General features: G+C 45.4%; 1 protein-coding gene across 4 annotated transcripts in view, besides 4 other annotated features; it reads right to left on the bottom strand.

Moving 5' to 3' along the window:
- Positions 1-16,388, bottom strand: part of SVIL (supervillin) — a 279,599-nt gene that overhangs the window by 122,425 nt on the left and 140,786 nt on the right. The window lies entirely within an intron of this gene.
- Positions 4,268-4,769: an enhancer, noted in NCBI's record as "H3K4me1 hESC enhancer chr10:29872959-29873460 (GRCh37/hg19 assembly coordinates)". NCBI's record gives its function as "activates a minimal SCP1, AML or CMV promoter by ChIP-STARR-seq in naive H9 embryonic stem cells {active_cell/tissue: H9 hESC(naive)}" and the evidence as "EXISTENCE:reporter gene assay evidence [ECO:0000049][PMID:30033119]".
- Positions 4,770-5,269: an enhancer, noted in NCBI's record as "H3K4me1 hESC enhancer chr10:29873461-29873960 (GRCh37/hg19 assembly coordinates)". NCBI's record gives its function as "activates a minimal SCP1, AML or CMV promoter by ChIP-STARR-seq in naive H9 embryonic stem cells {active_cell/tissue: H9 hESC(naive)}" and the evidence as "EXISTENCE:reporter gene assay evidence [ECO:0000049][PMID:30033119]".
- Positions 5,547-6,047: an enhancer, noted in NCBI's record as "NANOG-H3K4me1 hESC enhancer chr10:29874238-29874738 (GRCh37/hg19 assembly coordinates)". NCBI's record gives its function as "activates a minimal SCP1, AML or CMV promoter by ChIP-STARR-seq in naive H9 embryonic stem cells {active_cell/tissue: H9 hESC(naive)}" and the evidence as "EXISTENCE:reporter gene assay evidence [ECO:0000049][PMID:30033119]".
- Positions 6,048-6,548: an enhancer, noted in NCBI's record as "NANOG-H3K4me1 hESC enhancer chr10:29874739-29875239 (GRCh37/hg19 assembly coordinates)". NCBI's record gives its function as "activates a minimal SCP1, AML or CMV promoter by ChIP-STARR-seq in naive H9 embryonic stem cells {active_cell/tissue: H9 hESC(naive)}" and the evidence as "EXISTENCE:reporter gene assay evidence [ECO:0000049][PMID:30033119]".

Raw genomic sequence — 16,388 nt, forward strand, 5'->3', positions numbered from 1 at the left:
CTGGGGGAGAAAACGAGGGCAAAGCCAAGGGAAAGGGAAGTAGCCAGCACTTCCACTGCAGCCAGCCATTTCCCACCAGGGCCGAACAGGATGGTGCCTGTGACCTCCCCTGGCTCATCACTGGGGGGCGGATGCAAGGCTGAGGGTCCTGGAGTATTTAATTCCTTTAGTCTTCTCGGTGACTTATCCTCATATGCAGATGAGAAAACCAGGATAGTGCCTGACCTAGGATAGATACATCAAGCGTAGACCAACAACTTAAAATACATCTCTGAAGGCAAAACAGGGCCTGGTGGTGGCTTATGCCTGTAATCCCAGCACTTTGAGAGGCCAAGTCAGGAGGATTGCTTGAAGCCAGGAGTTCGAGAGCAGCCTGGGCAACAAAGTTAGACTCTGTCTCTACAAAAAATTTAAAAAAAAAAAATTTAGCTGGGCATGGTGGCACATGCCTGCAATCCCTACTTGTAATCAGCTGCTTGTGAGGCTGAAGTGGGAGGAGCGTTTGAACCCTGGAGGCCAAGGCTGCAGTGAGCTATGATCACGCCACTGCACTCATCCAGTGTGGGCAACAGATTAAACCCTGTCTCTAAAAAAATTGTTTTAATAAAGGCAAAACAGCCATTCCCTGGCCAGCCACAACAAAATCAAAGAGGGAAATAGGATGGTGAGGTCAGGATAAAATGAGAGAACACGTATAGAAGCACTCCAAAAATGGACTGCATTATTTAATCCACACAAGGAACTCCGTATTGAAAAGGGATTCAGGTGCACTACATGCTCCTCCAGAGGTCCGTACGATGTCACCTCATGTCACCTTGTTGTGCTCAGTGAACATCAATGAAAGCACTCCCAGTCTACAGGAAAATGAGCTGGAATGAATGAATTAACTAATTAATGTATGTATGTATGTATGTATTTATTTGAGACAGGGTCTGGCTCTGTTGCCCAGGCTGGAGTGCAGTGGTACAAACACGGCTCATTGCAGCCTCAACCTCCTGGGCTTAAGCCATCCTTCTACCTCAGCCTCACGAGTAGCTGGGACCACGCCTGGCTATTTTTTGAAATTTGTAGACATGGGATCTTGCCATGTGCCCAGGCTGGTCTCAAACTCCTGGCCTGAAGTGATTCTTCCACCTTGGCCTCCCGAAGTGCTGGGATTACAGGCGTGAGCCATCAAACCAACCATGAGCTGGAATTTAAATGTACAGTATAGGGGAGTGTGATATTATGACTAGCAGTTGTCTGAATACATACTGACATGACTTATCAATACATTTCCAAAATCAAGAAGTGCTATGGAAATGATTTTAATGAAATCTACTATAAGCTACTAATGATGATGGCTGGAGTGAAATTCCAAAGTGAAGAACATATTTTCATAGCCCAGTAAAGGAGCATTTTGTATGCTAGCAACAGCCATAAATGGTATTCTCATTTTCTTTGGTGGATTTTCTTTATGTGTGCAGATCCTTAATCTGAGGCAGAACTGCCTGACCTGAGAAAATTGCCCCTAGGGAAAGCCCACTTAGGCCCTTTCATTTCCCCTTGATCACATCTCACTGGTCAGTCAGACTTTCCAGATTCCTCATTTTAGTCTAATTCTCCTCCTGCGTGCACTGTGAGATGCTCTGTGAATTTTGGTTAGTGGTAATATTTTGGACAAGCGTGCAAATAAAATGTTGCATTACATCACTGCATAAGGTAATTTGAAACAGACCACATAGGTGGAGATGAAAAGGCAAAGTACGTTCAATAAGAAATGTTGCAAGTCACAGCTATTTTTTCTTTATCGGATGTGTTGAAAGAAAACCATGCCAGCCTTTCTAAACTTCAGAATTCTTTTTTAAAGAAAAGGCTTATTGCAATCACCTAAAAGACTTATTAGTGTCTTTAAAGTTAATGTTCAAAAGAGTAATGTTAACATTTGTAATGAAATTATCTCCAATCGTTTTAGTTTCTGGTTCATTCCAAATCTATGGCTAATGACTCTTGGAAAGAAAAATTCAGGTACCTCAGAGGAAGAGAGAATGGTCAGCTGATTGTCAGAAAAGAAAGACATAGGTCAGTTCTGTGTTTAAATTACACACTGAATATACATATGATGGAATATTATTCGGCCTTAAAAAGGAAGGAAATTCTGATGCTTGCTACAATGTAGAGGAACCTTGAAGACATTATGCTAAGTGAAATAAGCCAGTCACCAAAGGACAAATACTGTACAATCCCACTTATATGAGGTTTCTAGAACAGTCACATTCAGAGACAGATAGTAGAAGGGAGTTTATCAGGGGCTGGGCAGAGGGAAAATTGGGGAGTTGTTGAATAGGTAGAGTTTCCATTTGGAATGATGAAAAAGTTCTGGAGAGGGATGGTGGTGATGGCTGCACACTGTGAGCGAATGCACCTAAATGCCACCGAACTGTTCACTTAAACGTGGTTGAAATGGTAAATGTCATGGTGTGTATATTTCAGTGCAATCTACAATAAAATGTACACTGAGGGCAAATCACAGCTGACATACAATGCAGGCACATGCTGAGCACCTGGAGAACAGCTCTTGTGAGGGGCACATGGCCGGCCCACCACTTGCCAGAGGCCAGGAGACGCCAAGGACGATTCTGACCTGTTCAAAGCCCCAACCCACAAAGGGCTCTTAAACAATGATGTGACGAATAAACATAAAACTAGCTGTTCCCAGGAACGGTGGCTCACACCTGTAATCCCAGCACTTTGGGAGGCTGAGGCAGGAGGACTGCTTGAGACCAGGAGTTAGAGACCAGCCTGGGCAACATAGTGAGACCCCCATCTTTACCAAAAACATTTTAAAATTAGCCAGGAATGATGGTGTAGTTCCAGCCACTCAGAAGGCTGAGAAGTGAGGATTACTTAAGCCCAGAAATTTGAGGCTGTGGTGAGCTTTGATCATGCTACTACACTCCAGCCTGGGTGACAGAGTGAGACCCTGTCTCTAATAATAATAATAATAATAATAATAATAATAATAATAGTAAACCTAGGTGTTCACTGTATGGGGTCTGTGGCTGCATCCCAGGACATAAGGTGCAGCATGCCACACCTTCAGAGCTGCGGGGGCCCATGCCTCTCCTCTCGTGAGAAGAAGACCTCATGCAGAGGGGAAGGGGCTGACTTGATTACAATCGTCCAGGGAGAGCGGAGAAGGCTCTGCCAAATCCAGTCATTCAGTGCTCACTACTTGATGGTTTTCACATGAACAGAAAGCAGGGAAACACTGAGTCGTCACAGAGGAGAATTTCCTGTGAGTCTAAAAGTCCAGATAGCAGACAAGCACATATATAAAATGTCTGTTGGTACCAGATAGATCATAGCTGTTCTAGAGCTAGACTCCAATAATTTGAAGGAAAGTTTCAAATAAAGTAATTTCTGGCTCTCCTTGTTCTCAGAAGGGCATCTTAATAAAGTAACAACAATGACAATCTCAGCAATAATAATCAGTATGAAAATGCAAGAAAAGCTCATCAACCTGTGATCTCCAGTGTCACCCTTGTTTTCCATGGGTTATTTTTTATTTTTTGAGACAGGGTCTGGCTCTGTTGCCCAAGCTGCAGTGCAGTGGCACAATCACAGCTCACTGCAGCCTCGACCTCCTAAGCTCAAGCCAATTCCTCCCACCTCTGCCTCCTGAGTAGCTGGGACTACAGGGGCCCACCACCACGCCTAGCTAACTTTTGTATTTGTTGTAGAGATGGGATCTCAACATGTTGCCCAGGCAGGTCTCAAACTCCTGGGCTCAAGCAATCCTCCCACCTCGGCCTCCTAGAGTGCTGGAATTACAGGTGTGAACCACTGCACCCGGCCTCCATGGGTTGTATTAACTGGTACCCAAGACCTACCAGTCTTTCAGAACAGGTCCCCAGCCCCTTGCTGATTGATGCGGGGTAGGGGAGGGCGTGTTTGTGATATTTCACACTTTCATGATTGGCTTTCTTCATGGTCATATTATTGCACCAGGAAAGCAGATCCCGTGCTCACAGTGCAGGTGCCTTGGGGAGGTCATGACACAAAATAAATCAAAGGCACATTCCACACTGTCTGTTGAAATGACTCAAGACACGTTTATGCGTGGGTGTAACATCTGATTAAGCAAAGGATATCAAACTTGGGTGGCCCTCAGACCACTTGCGGTATTTGTTTAAAATGAAAGTCCTCCCACCACAGGTGATTAGGATACGCCCACAGAATTAGAAAACCATGAATACAAGCCACCGATGATATAAAGCCTGGGAAGAAACAGGGAAACAGCATAATCAGATGGGGTGAGTGTGACGAAGGAAGGCTTCCTGGAGGACGAGACTGGAGAGCTTACTTGTGGAGGAGATGATGGCAATAGGTGAACAGGGAGGCCATGGGCCCTCACCTCCGTGCCAGGAAGAAGAGCGGACAGTGTGGGAGCTGGAACTGGGAAGAGGCCTAACCGGGGCGTGGGCTTAAATGGTCCCATCCCTCTGCATGGTAAATGCGCCTGACAGCAATCACTTAGGCACACCCTGAGAATGGCCCTGTATGGCAGCGGCACCTGCATGGGGTTCAGGGTTCCAAGCTAAGGAATCCAGGAGAGGCCAACTGGAGATTCGTTCCTTATCTATGAGGAACATCTGAGCAGCTTCCCTGCCCTGCTGCCACCACTGCATGCACAGGGGGTCTGGACTGTTTGTTTTGGGGTATGTGAAGGCTGCCAGGTGGAGATTGTCGGGGAGGTGCCAAGTGGACATGCTATTGCTATATAAACTGCATGCCTTTTGAAAGCGGTTGTGGTTCTCCCACTCAGCCCGCTGCCACTGGACTCTCTCCCCTGTATGCAAGCCCACAACAGAACCCCGTGCCTCGTTCACTGGCTCTGGGTCTCCTCTTCGGCCTCTTTAACCTGCGGCCTTCCCATGGAGTCGACACGGGTTCGGCAAGACAGCCACCCACATTCAGACGGAACGTGCTGTGGGCCCAGCCAGGGCATTCTGAGGTGGGAAGGGAGGCCGTGGACAGCCCGTGAAGAAGCATCAGAGCCATCCCTGTAGCCCAAGTGGAAAAAGAAAATTCAGATACTTGTCACACCCAGACATCAAGCTGGGATACATCATGCTGCTTGGTCTTCAGGTGGTGAGAAAATACATTAAAGAAATAGACAGGGTCTTGCTCCATCACCCAGGCTAGAGAGTGCAGTGCTGCAATCACAGCTCACTGAAGCCTCGACTTCGGGTTTGAGCAGTCCTCTCCCACCTCAGCCTCCCAAGTAGCTGGGACTATAGGTGCACATCACCATGCTCAGCTAATATTTTTATTCTTCTTCCTTTTTTTTTTTTTTGAGACAGGTTCTCCCTCTGTTGGCCAGGCTGGAGTGCAATGGCATGATCATGGCACATTGCAACTTTGATCTCCTGAGCTCCAGTGACCCTCCCACCTCAGCTGGGACCACAGGTGTGTGCCACCACACCTGGCTAATTTTTGTAGAGACAGAGTTTTGCCATGTTGCCCAGGTTGGTCTTGAATTCCTGGGCTCAAGTGATCTACCTGCCTTGGCCCCACAAAGTGCAGATATTACAGGAGTGTGTCACCATGCCCAGCCTATTCCTTATAGAGACAGTGGCCTCACTATGTTGCCCAGGCTGGCCTTGAATTCCTGGCCTCAAGAATCCTTCCACCTCATTCTCCTAACATGCTGGGATTATAGGCATGAGCCACCACGCCCGCCAAACTATTTTTTTAACAAGAGGAGAAAGTGAATTTGTGCTTTCCCTGAACAGCAAGCAGCAGATATAAGCAATGAAAAGAAGACAACGAGGACACCGCTCCATGCTCAAAAGAGACACCAGCAGAGCTGAGCCAGCAGCATCTCAGATGTCATCTCCCAACTGTGCTAAAAATACACACACACACACACTCTGAATCTGACTCCAGCAGTAAGAGCGTCCCTGTTCTCATGCAGCAGCTTATGAGCCCTGGTGCCCCAAGATCTCTGGAGGGAGGGGAGAACTGAAGCCGGGGTCCGGAGCAGTCAGGAGTCAGAGTGAGCCGCGGTTCGCGTCTGTCTTCCCGGCAGGTGTCCGACGCCTCAGCTCAATGAATGAGAAGCCGCTTAGACAAGGGATGTGAGCCAGAGCGCTCTGAGCGCGGTCACTGCCCCATCCTGAACGCAGGCTCCTCCAGGTGTTCGTTTGCCTCATGTGCAGCTTTGGTCCATGAGCCATAACCCATAGAACCTGAGGCATCTGAACGAGCATTTCAGTGCAGGAAAGTGCCGTCTTCACTAACTTTCAGCTACTGCAGCAAGTTTGGAAGAAACTCAAACGAGAAAAGATGGATTCAGCCTTACAGGTTCCGTTGGGAAAACGGTCCCCGTGGATGCTCGGCTGTGGCTATTAACCACACACACTCATTAAACAGCTTTACTGAAGAGAACAAAAAGGAGAGGGGAGGCTGGTTAATGCAATTTGAGGAGAGAAATGTACGATGGAGAGGTTATTGAGTGCATTCAGTCTACTCTACATTTTTATTTTAGTTTTTAATTGACAAATAATAAATGTACATATTTATGGGGTACGGAGTGATGTTTGGATATGTATAATGTATAGTGATCACAGATTCACTAGTGATCACTAGTGATTGCCCACTAAGCCCTAGATACATGAGCTATACCATTCTGTCCTTGGGGAAATCACCTCCCTAATGCAAGTGACTTATTCCACTTAGCTCACTTGTGGCAGCCGTGGAACGCAGGTCCCTTGGCTCCTAAAACTCTGCCATTTCCATTGTACCACCTGACTATCTAGTTATATTTCCTCCCTACTATACACATGACCTCACCATTCAAAAAAGTTTACTATAAAACATAAACAAGATTCTGAGAGTCCACAAAACATCTTGCATTAAAAGGAAAACATTCCACATTTCCTAATATGGAATACTACGCAGCCATAAAAAAGAACGAAACTATGTCCTCTGCAGGGACATGGATGAAGCAGGAGGCTACCATCCTTGGAAAACTAACGTAGGAACAGAAAAACCAAATACTACTTGTTCTCACTTATAAGTGGAAGCTAAATGATGAGAACACATGGACACATAGAAGGGAACAACACACACTGGGGCCTTTCGCAGGGTGGAGGGTGGGAGGAGGGAGAAGATTATGAAAAATAACTAATGGGTACTAAGCTTAGTACCTGGGTGATGAAATAATCTCTACAACAAACCCCCATAACACATGTTTACCTATATAACAAATCTGCACATGTACTCTTGAACTTAAAAGTTAAAAACAAATTTTCCCGATAAAGTCCATACTCCGTAGAATAAGCCCTGATACAGAACTGAACACACAAGCTACGCAGTGAAGAAAGCCTCGTACCATTCTGTCCTTCGGACAGTCACCTCCCCCTGCAAACCTCCTGTTCTCCAACCAACCCATAAAGTATGCCTGCCAAGGAGAGTGCATATTCCTGTCATCACAGAGCACTATCATTAATAGAACAGTACTAGGCCACGTCTCCGGGGCTCGGGTTCTCCGGCTTCGTACAGGACACAAGCTCACTGCCACCGCCTCTGCCAGCCAGTCCCCAGCCACCAGCCTCCGCAGTCTGCCTAATAAGGCAATCTGCAGGTTGACGGGTGGCTTACAGGTCACCACTGCACAATGCACGCTCTGGGCTTGAAGCAAAGGGAGAGGCTACCTTTTGGCAGACAAAGGGTTACCCTGTGCCAAAAACTCTTCCAAGGCCGCACTGGGACTCCATTTACATAATAATAGAAACTTGTCCCTGCAGTTGGCCAGACTCCAGCCACAGGGTCCAGCTTACAGAGCTGAAGAAAGCTGAACTTCTGCAGTGGCCTGGAGCTTGCTCAGCCTTTACATGGAAACGTCTCCTCTTTGCCTTCTCCCAACCTCATCAGAGGACTCCCAGAAAGTCCATCTTGCAGGAACTTAGGTGGCATATATTCAATCTCCGAGACTCCCTGACTTCAAAACAGCAACCTGCAAATTGACTGCATATCCCGGATGCTTAAAAAGAAGCCATAGGTCAGGGGAACAATTCTTAGCATTCCAGAAAATGATTACACACCAGCGAAAAGTGGACGTCTGTATTTCCAGCTAAGGAGGCGGAGTTGTTGGTCAAGCGATGCCTGATTACAAATATTCATTATTTTTAATTCTATGAAGATCTGGACTCAGAGACTCTCCCCCACCCTGGCCCCTGCACTGTACTACGCATACAAGGAAAAGAACAGATCTCTGGTGATTAATTGCAGCACATTCATCATTGCATGAATTTCCTTCAGCTTTTAGCCACGGGGCCCCTTTGTCATTCAGAAGGCATCCCACCCACTGGCTCACCAGAATTTAATATGTCCCAACGGAGTTTTGAAATCTACCAGCATTTCAACAGTGGACTGGAGCTGCCGAACCACAGCAAAATTAGGAAGGGGTCAAGGAGCATGAGATAGCAATACCGTGGAGGTTAATAGTCAGCAAACCACCAGTTTAGAGTCCTGTGCCTAGTCAAATCTAGCACCGCTGAAACGTGTGCTGGTGGCAGAGACGCATCTGACACTTCGTCCCTTCACTCTGCCCTTTGTGCCGGTGTCCAGTGCGGACTCTCTTCACGTTAAGACACTTCCTGTGCAGTTTCTTGGACACCCAGCAGTGAACATACAGCACCCATTCATTCTCTGCTTCTCTGGGAAATGGAGTCTGGGATGTCTGAAACAAGACTCATGAAAAATGGTTGCCTATTAAGGGCCATTATGTTGGGGATGTAAATAGCGATTGATTTTTAATTTACACTAATTCAGCATTTACCAAACCAAAATAGTCCCTAGGAAATTCTCTGACAGAGCGTGAAAGGAAAATAGAACCTTGGGAACCCCAAACTCACTATGCCAAACGGAAAGTGAAGCTTAGGAACCGAGTCACACAAAAGCTGCCTGCCTTTTGTCCCCAGAAAGATAGCTGTGACCTCACAGGCTTAGGGTACCTTATGTAAAATGTAGATTTACTGTGCAAGAGATAAATGCGTAACTGACTTCCCCCTCCTTTGTTTTCACATGTAAAATGTAGATTCACAGAATGCTCATCAGAGCCTCACAAGAATGTGACCACTTGCCTCACTTCCTACCTCCCCCACCCCCCCTTTTATTCCTTGTCCTTAAAATACTGAAGTCCTCAAACCCAAACCCAGTTTGGAAAAAGCACAGGACATTCATCCCACTGGGACTTGTGTCCCTTTTTCCCCAGGAGCATCCTGAATGTTGGCAAAATAAACCTTTAAGTGGATTGAGATGCCTCGGTGACTTTTCGGTTCACAGGAGTTTATCAGAAATTCCTGTCTAGATATTCATGCCAAAGGGAAAAAAAACAAGGATGTGAGACACTCGACACCAAAAGCCTGTCCTCCAGCTCTGTGGAAAGCAGCGTTGGGAAACGGAGTTTTAAGTAACACCAACCCCATGCCGCCCTATCACATCATCGCCCGCACGGCCTCGACACTGAAGCACTCAGCTCACACTCACCTTTGTCTCCTCTAACTTAGGCAAAGGAGGAGAGGATCCACAGCTGGCCAACAGTGTGGTGGGAATCTGGAGGGGAGGAGAGCGGCTCTGGGCCCCCTGTAAACCCCAGAAACTGTGGGGACTTCACCAGTCCCCTTGCAAGTCCCCTGCAGCATGCAGCACGGAACAGGCTGGCATTTGTTTATTTTAATGACAAGCAGCTAATTTCCTACTGTTTAAGGCCAAATTAGATGGCACTGAAGCACCACCGTATTCCCCCTTTCCTCTTCAGCTGCCGGCTTTGGGGGCTGTTTGAGCCCTAATTGGAACTTCCACCCAGAGACCAGGCAAGAAAAGAAAACGAGGTGAGACAATTTAGCTGCTGGCTACTGACTTGCAGCAAGCTCTGTCAATCAAGACTCCTGGAACAGGGGGTCTGGAGTTGCCGAGAGACCTTGATCTACCTGGATGTTCTTATATGGCCAAACCTCAAGACCTCAGGAACTGCAAACTGAAGATAGTAATAAAAGAATACATTAATTTCCCACATAATAGGCAATGTCTACTGAACTAAAATTAAGTTTGTTCTCACTAAAAATAATGTTGTTGGCCAGGCGTGGTGGCTCACGCCTGTAATCCCAGCACTTTGGGAGGCTGAGGTGGGTGGATCACGAGGTCAGGAGTGAAGACCAGCCTGGCCAAGATGGTGAAACCCCGTCTCTACTAAAAATGCAAAAAATTAGCCAGGTGTGGTGGCATGTGCCTGTAATCCCAGCTACTCAGGAGGCTGAGGCAGAGAATTGCTTGAACCTGGGAGGCGGAGGTTGCAGTGAGCCAAGATTGCGCCACTGCTCTCCAGCCTTGGCAACAGAGCAAGACTCCGTCTCAAAAAAAAAAAAAAAAAAAAAAAAAAAAAAGTTGTAAAGGAAAATTCCTCCCTTCCAGCCCCTGGGACTCTCTCCTTAATAATAAAGATATTACCAGACCTCCTGTCCCGTGGCTCCCCAATTAAGTAAGGCTGCCCAACAGGTTCCCAGCACAAAAGAGCTATTCACATGCTTGATTGTACTGAGCCAGCCCCTGACACTCAGCCTTGACGGTATATATTTAGTCACTGTCTACGAAGCAGAACTAGAACCACTGCATTTTCCCCCGACATTAAAACGGTGCCAACCGCATGGACAGAATGATAGATTTTTATCAGATCTTTTCCTGTTCTGAAGAAAAAAAGAGTATTTGTTCACTTTAACATGTACTTTACACCTTCTGGCTAGTAGATCACATATGCCATCTGGTTGGGTGGCAGAAAGTGATCATAAAATGATGAAAGATTCAGTCATCTTTTGCAACCTATTTATATGTTTTATATTTAAGCACATTATCAGGCTGTATTTATGGATATTATTTTTAACCCGGACACATGCTTGTGTTAAGCTTGAAATATGCTGAAATACCTTTAAACCTCATCCTGCAGTGCTGATTTAACTTAGTCACAGTTATCCACATCTAAGAGTATCAGTTGAAGTACTAACCCCTCTTTGAAAAAACTTAAAAACTTGATTCCTGAACTGCACTATACCTCCCCCTGGTGGCAGAAAAGAATCAATGCATCTCCCAAAGCCAATTTTACAAAACACTCCAAATAGAAACCCTGAAGCAAGGACATCTTTGTTTAAAGTAGTTTTAATATCTCCAAGACATGCAAGAAATTAAATGTTAGCAAATTATTTCATTCATCCACTGAACAAATATTTATGGAGCACCCAAGAGGCCAAGCCCGGTTCTGGGGCTGTGGATACAGTGAGACAAACTCCCTGCCCACACAAACTTATGTTCTAGTAATAACCAAATAAAGATTAATGTTTCACACACTTATTGGCCTTCTTTTTTAATATATGTGAAGTGAAATGTGTTTACATGCATGAAATCTCAAATACTCTGGGAACACCTGTGCTTCTGCATTGCTGGTTTCTCTCTTCAGCTCCTTGGCTGTCATTCTCACCTTGACCTCCCAGGCAGGTCCAGAACTTTCTACCCCATGCCCTCAAGAAGAACCTGTTGAGTAAAATGACTGTGGGCCATGGCATTGAAACCCAGGGAATCCAAACTAAGAGGCTTTATTGTCAGCTATATAAAAGTGCTTTTGCTATTTTCAATTGTCTGTATTATAAGCTAATATACTGACAGTTATAAAAGTGAGGCAGTCTTATAAAAAAGTAATAGCTCTCTCTATAAAACCTGATGCAATCCTGTGCCATAGTAAAAATTTTGTACATAAGCATTGCTACTGTGCGAACATTTTACTCAGAATCTCACCTCTGACAAAGCAATAGTAACTTCCAGATTCTCCTCCCCTGCACCCTGCACCTTTTTAAAAAACTGACAGCCTGAGAACTATCATGTTCCTAAATACGTGAGTCCTTCCAGCACATTAGGTGCTATAGGATATACCAGGGCAGCAGACAGAACTCATGCCAGCTTATGTCATCGGCCTTGCTGCATGAAGCTCCATGCTGCGAAGGGATCTTAGCACACGTGGGGAGATCCAAGTGCTCTGGGTGAGGGCTGATGCCTGTTCCTGGCTTAGGAGGAAGATGAGCAAAGAGCCTGCCAGGCATTTACCACTGCTAGTACCTTACATGGTTCTGGGTACTGCTCTAATGCTCATGGGACATAAAGAGGTTTCTCTGGGCTGGGTGCTGTGGCTCATGCCTGTAATCCCAGCACTTTGGGAGGCTGAGGCAGATGGATCACTTGAGGTCAGGAGTTCGAGACCAGCCTGGCCAACATAGGAAAACCACATCTCTACTAAGAATACAAACAATTAGCCAGGAATGGTGGTATATGCCTATAATCCCAGCTGCTTGGGAGGCTGAGGTGGGAGAATTGCTTGAACCTGGGAGGCGGAGGTTGCAGTGAGGCAAGATGGTGCCACTGCACTCCAGCCTGGGCAACAGAGTGAGACTCTTTCTCAAAAATAGAAAGAAAGAAAAAAGGGGATTTCTCTGAAACAATGTCACTGCTTTTAAGCATCTAAGTGTAATATTTGCATATTCTATTTTCCAACATGTTACCTATTTCCGAATAAGAAAATAAAGCCTCTTCGATATTTCACAAGGCAAGGGGCAAGAAGAAGCTTCTAGAAGCACACAATTTCACAAAAGCTGAATACATGTTGGTTTCTCATTTCTGTTTCAAATTCTACCTAAGTCGCCAGGTGCTGTTCAGTTTCTTGCAGCTGCGATTCTTCCAGTTAACAGTGAGACCTCCGTAATGGAGGTTTCAATGTCAAGGTGTCCATCGTTGCATGGACTCTGACAGTTACGTAGGAAGGGGAGGAGCATTTTCCAGACCCAATATTTGATCCAAATTAACAGTAAAGTAAGCATAAAAAATCAATGTTAAAACATGCAAGGTGAACTTCGTTAGGTAAAAATCTTCTCTTGGGGTAAAAGAAGCCTAGCTGATTTTCAAGCAAAATCTGTGTGACTAAAATTACACTGAGTCTAAACAAAATTCAAATCATTCATCTAAATATTTCCTTCATGATCAAGGCCTAGATTAAAGTTCATTCTAATGACTAATGTTCTATCTCATTCTTTAGGGCTAGCAAAAGGGTGGTGGAAATAGGTTGAATTTCAACTCACTTTCTAAATTTAAAGGAAAAAAAGTCTCTAAAATTCTAATTTATTAAATTGTTGTAGGGAAGTTTTAAACAGAAGCAGGACTTTGGATATTCAAGGTCACATTGAAAGCTATCAAATATGGTGATCCAGGTTTAAATATTACCTTGAAGACTGTGGCCCTAATCTGCGCTATGTTTAAAATTTTTTGATAGCAGCCACATTGATATTTGTAGAGTTAGAGAATACTTGTTGAAAAAAAAAGAGATATTCTGTCATTTTATAGTAAAATCATATTATAACGCAATACTTCATTAACATTTTACACTATTATAAAAGTACACACAAGACACAGCCTGTCCCACAGTCCTCTGCAGGCTCTGACAGTAGCGGACAGTTGGATGTTAACTGTTAAGTGCCTGAAACTCACTCCTGGACCTTCACATAAAGGATATAGGCTGGTGTCACTAAAGATCCCCAAATATTTCAACTGTGGACTCGAGAGCATTTCTCACTCCCCATCTGCCCATCAGGAAGATTCCAGACCAAGGGAAATCCACACATGGGCCCCCCAGTTGCCTATCTGTCAGACTCAAGTCCTTAGAAGCCAAAGATGGTCTTCACTAAAACATGAACAGGGTGGTTATCAAAACCCAGATACATCAAATGCCTTCCACTCTCTGCCTCCCGGCCTCCTTCTCAAATCTCGGGCAATTCACCTCTAATTCAAACCTTCTAAGTAAAAGAACTATGGAACTTCCCAAATTTACAATGTAATATTTTGGACAATGTGCCAAAACTTATTAAGAATATTTAACACCATACACATGTTAAGAAATAGTCAATAAATCAATCCTATAATTTTTCATAAGGAAAATAATGTCATTAAATGGACTGCGCCCAAGCCCTTATCCTTAGAGACTGAGAAATGCCCTTTTATTCTTAATTTATACCCAGTTCTAAGAAACTTGGCAAAACTATGGAGACAGTAAGCAGATCAGTGGTTCTCTGGGGTTGGGAGGGGAGGGAGGAATACATAGGTGGAGCACAGTGGAGTTTTCAAGGCGGTGAAAATACCCCGTAGTGTACTACAGGTTGAGCATCCCTAATCAGAAAATCCAAAATTGGTTCAGCTCCAAAATCACAAGGTTTTTGAGCTTCGACATGAGACAATGACACTTTTGATTTCTGATTGTTCAATGGACACAAACTCTGTTTCATACACAAAACTATTTAAAATGTTATGTAAAATAAACTTAAGGCCATGTATATAAGGTATACATGAAACATAAAAGAATTTGGTGTTTAGACATCAGTCCTGTCCCCAAGATATCTCATTATGTACATGCAAATATTCCAAAATAAAAAAAAATTCTAAGATCTGAAACACTCCTAGGTCCCAACCATTTCGGATGAGAGATACTCAACCTGTATAATAATACATATTATCATTATATATTTGTTCAAACCCACAGGCTATACACCAAGAGTAAACCCTAATTAAACTGTGGACTCTGGGTGATAATGATGTGTCAGTGTAGGCTCATCAATTGTAGCGTATGTACCACTCTAGTGGGGGATGTTGATAGTAGGGGAGGCTGTGCAAGTGGGAGGCGAGGAGTTTATGGGAAATCTCTGTACCTTCTTAATTTTTTTTCTTTTTTTTTTTTTTTGAAACATGGTCTCACTCTGTCACCCAGGCTGAAGTCCAGTGGTGCAGTCTGGGCTCATCGCAATCTTTGCCTCCTGGGCTCAGGTGACCCTCCCACCTCAGCCTCCCGAGTAGCTGGGACTACAGGTGTGTGCCACCACACCCAGATAATTTTTGTATTTTTAGTAGAGACAGGGTTTCGCCATATTGCCTAGGCCAGTCTTGAACTCCTGGGCTCAAGCAGTCAGCCTGCCTCAGCCTTCCAAAGCATTGGGATTACAGGCGTAAGCCACTGCGCCCAGCCTCTGCTCAATTTTGAACCTGAAACTGCTCTAAAAAATACTTGAAACAAACACACCTCTGGGTTGTATAGTTCCCCAGCCCCTGCTGTGTTTCATACACTGAGAAGTTCAGGAAGGTAAACCCCTGAAGGGGAGGGAAGAGATGCTGGTCCTGGAATGGAGACTCTGTTACACTCCTGTTTCCTCTCCTCGGTTAGGCCTTCACCACTCTACATCTGCAAAACCAGGAACCCACAGTCCAAGCTAGACTGGTCTTCTCTGTGGAAACTGTGATTCTCATGAGTGGGGCTCTAGCAGTCCCGCCTCTGTTCTGCGGGCATGGAAGGAAGCCCCAGGAAGCTGGGAAATGACTGTGATTCTCATGAGTGGGGCTCTAGCAGTCCTGCCTCTGTGGGTATGGAAGGGAGCCTCGGGAAGCTGAGAAATGAGACAAGGACAGGGTTGGGCAGGTGGGCTTTGTTCTGGTGAGTTTGCTAGGGTAAGAATGGAGCCCCACCCGGCACCCTCAGAGCAGCACGGCTCTGCTAGGGTATGGATGGCAGGTGAGGACAGGCGATGGTGGGCTGGCCACAGCACAGAAAGGCACGTGCCCAGTGAGGGAGAAGTGCCCTGACAGCAACAACACTGTTATTTACAAAAGATGGTGAAATAGGAACACATAAGCAATAGCAGCAAAGAAGGCGAATTCCATTCATTTCACTAATCGTTTTCTTAATGGAGAAAGAACTAAAAATGTAAATATGAAACAAAATAGCTTTTGGGTAGGCAAACCCTTACGACTCCTCTTTCAAGACAAAAATACATATGGCCCAGGGGAAAGTCTCTAGCATCAGTGCCTCTCTTCTGCAGTGAGCCAGGCCCATATCGTCCAAGCAGGCAACGCGGTCTTCGGTGCCTGGTGGTTCTGTGATGGCACTTTACCTGCCATTGCCCTCTCCGTAGGACCCAGGTGCCAGGCCAGCAGTTGTGGTGAGCTGATGAAGTGACTCATTCCACACGTGGCCCTAGGGAAACAGTAGCTGCTCTGCCTGCTCTTGGCCATGTAGTCTGTGGCCCCATCATTCCCAGGACAGCTAGGACAGCTCGCTGTTTCTGCAGGGCGAGCTTAGAGACCAGTCCCAACACTTTCTTTTCTGCAGTGTGACCCAAAATGTCTTTACAGTCATGCATGATGAGGCCAGCCTGTGTGCATGTGAGCAGGTGTCACATATGAGAGCACAGAAGCACCACACACCCCTTCTCCTTCACGAGGATTCCTTCTTCAGGGAGAGCTGTGTCTAGTGGGCTCTGTAGCTA

This window comes from Homo sapiens, chromosome 10, assembly GCF_000001405.40.
Source record: "Homo sapiens chromosome 10, GRCh38.p14 Primary Assembly".
Classification (NCBI taxonomy): Eukaryota; Metazoa; Chordata; class Mammalia; order Primates; family Hominidae; genus Homo; species Homo sapiens.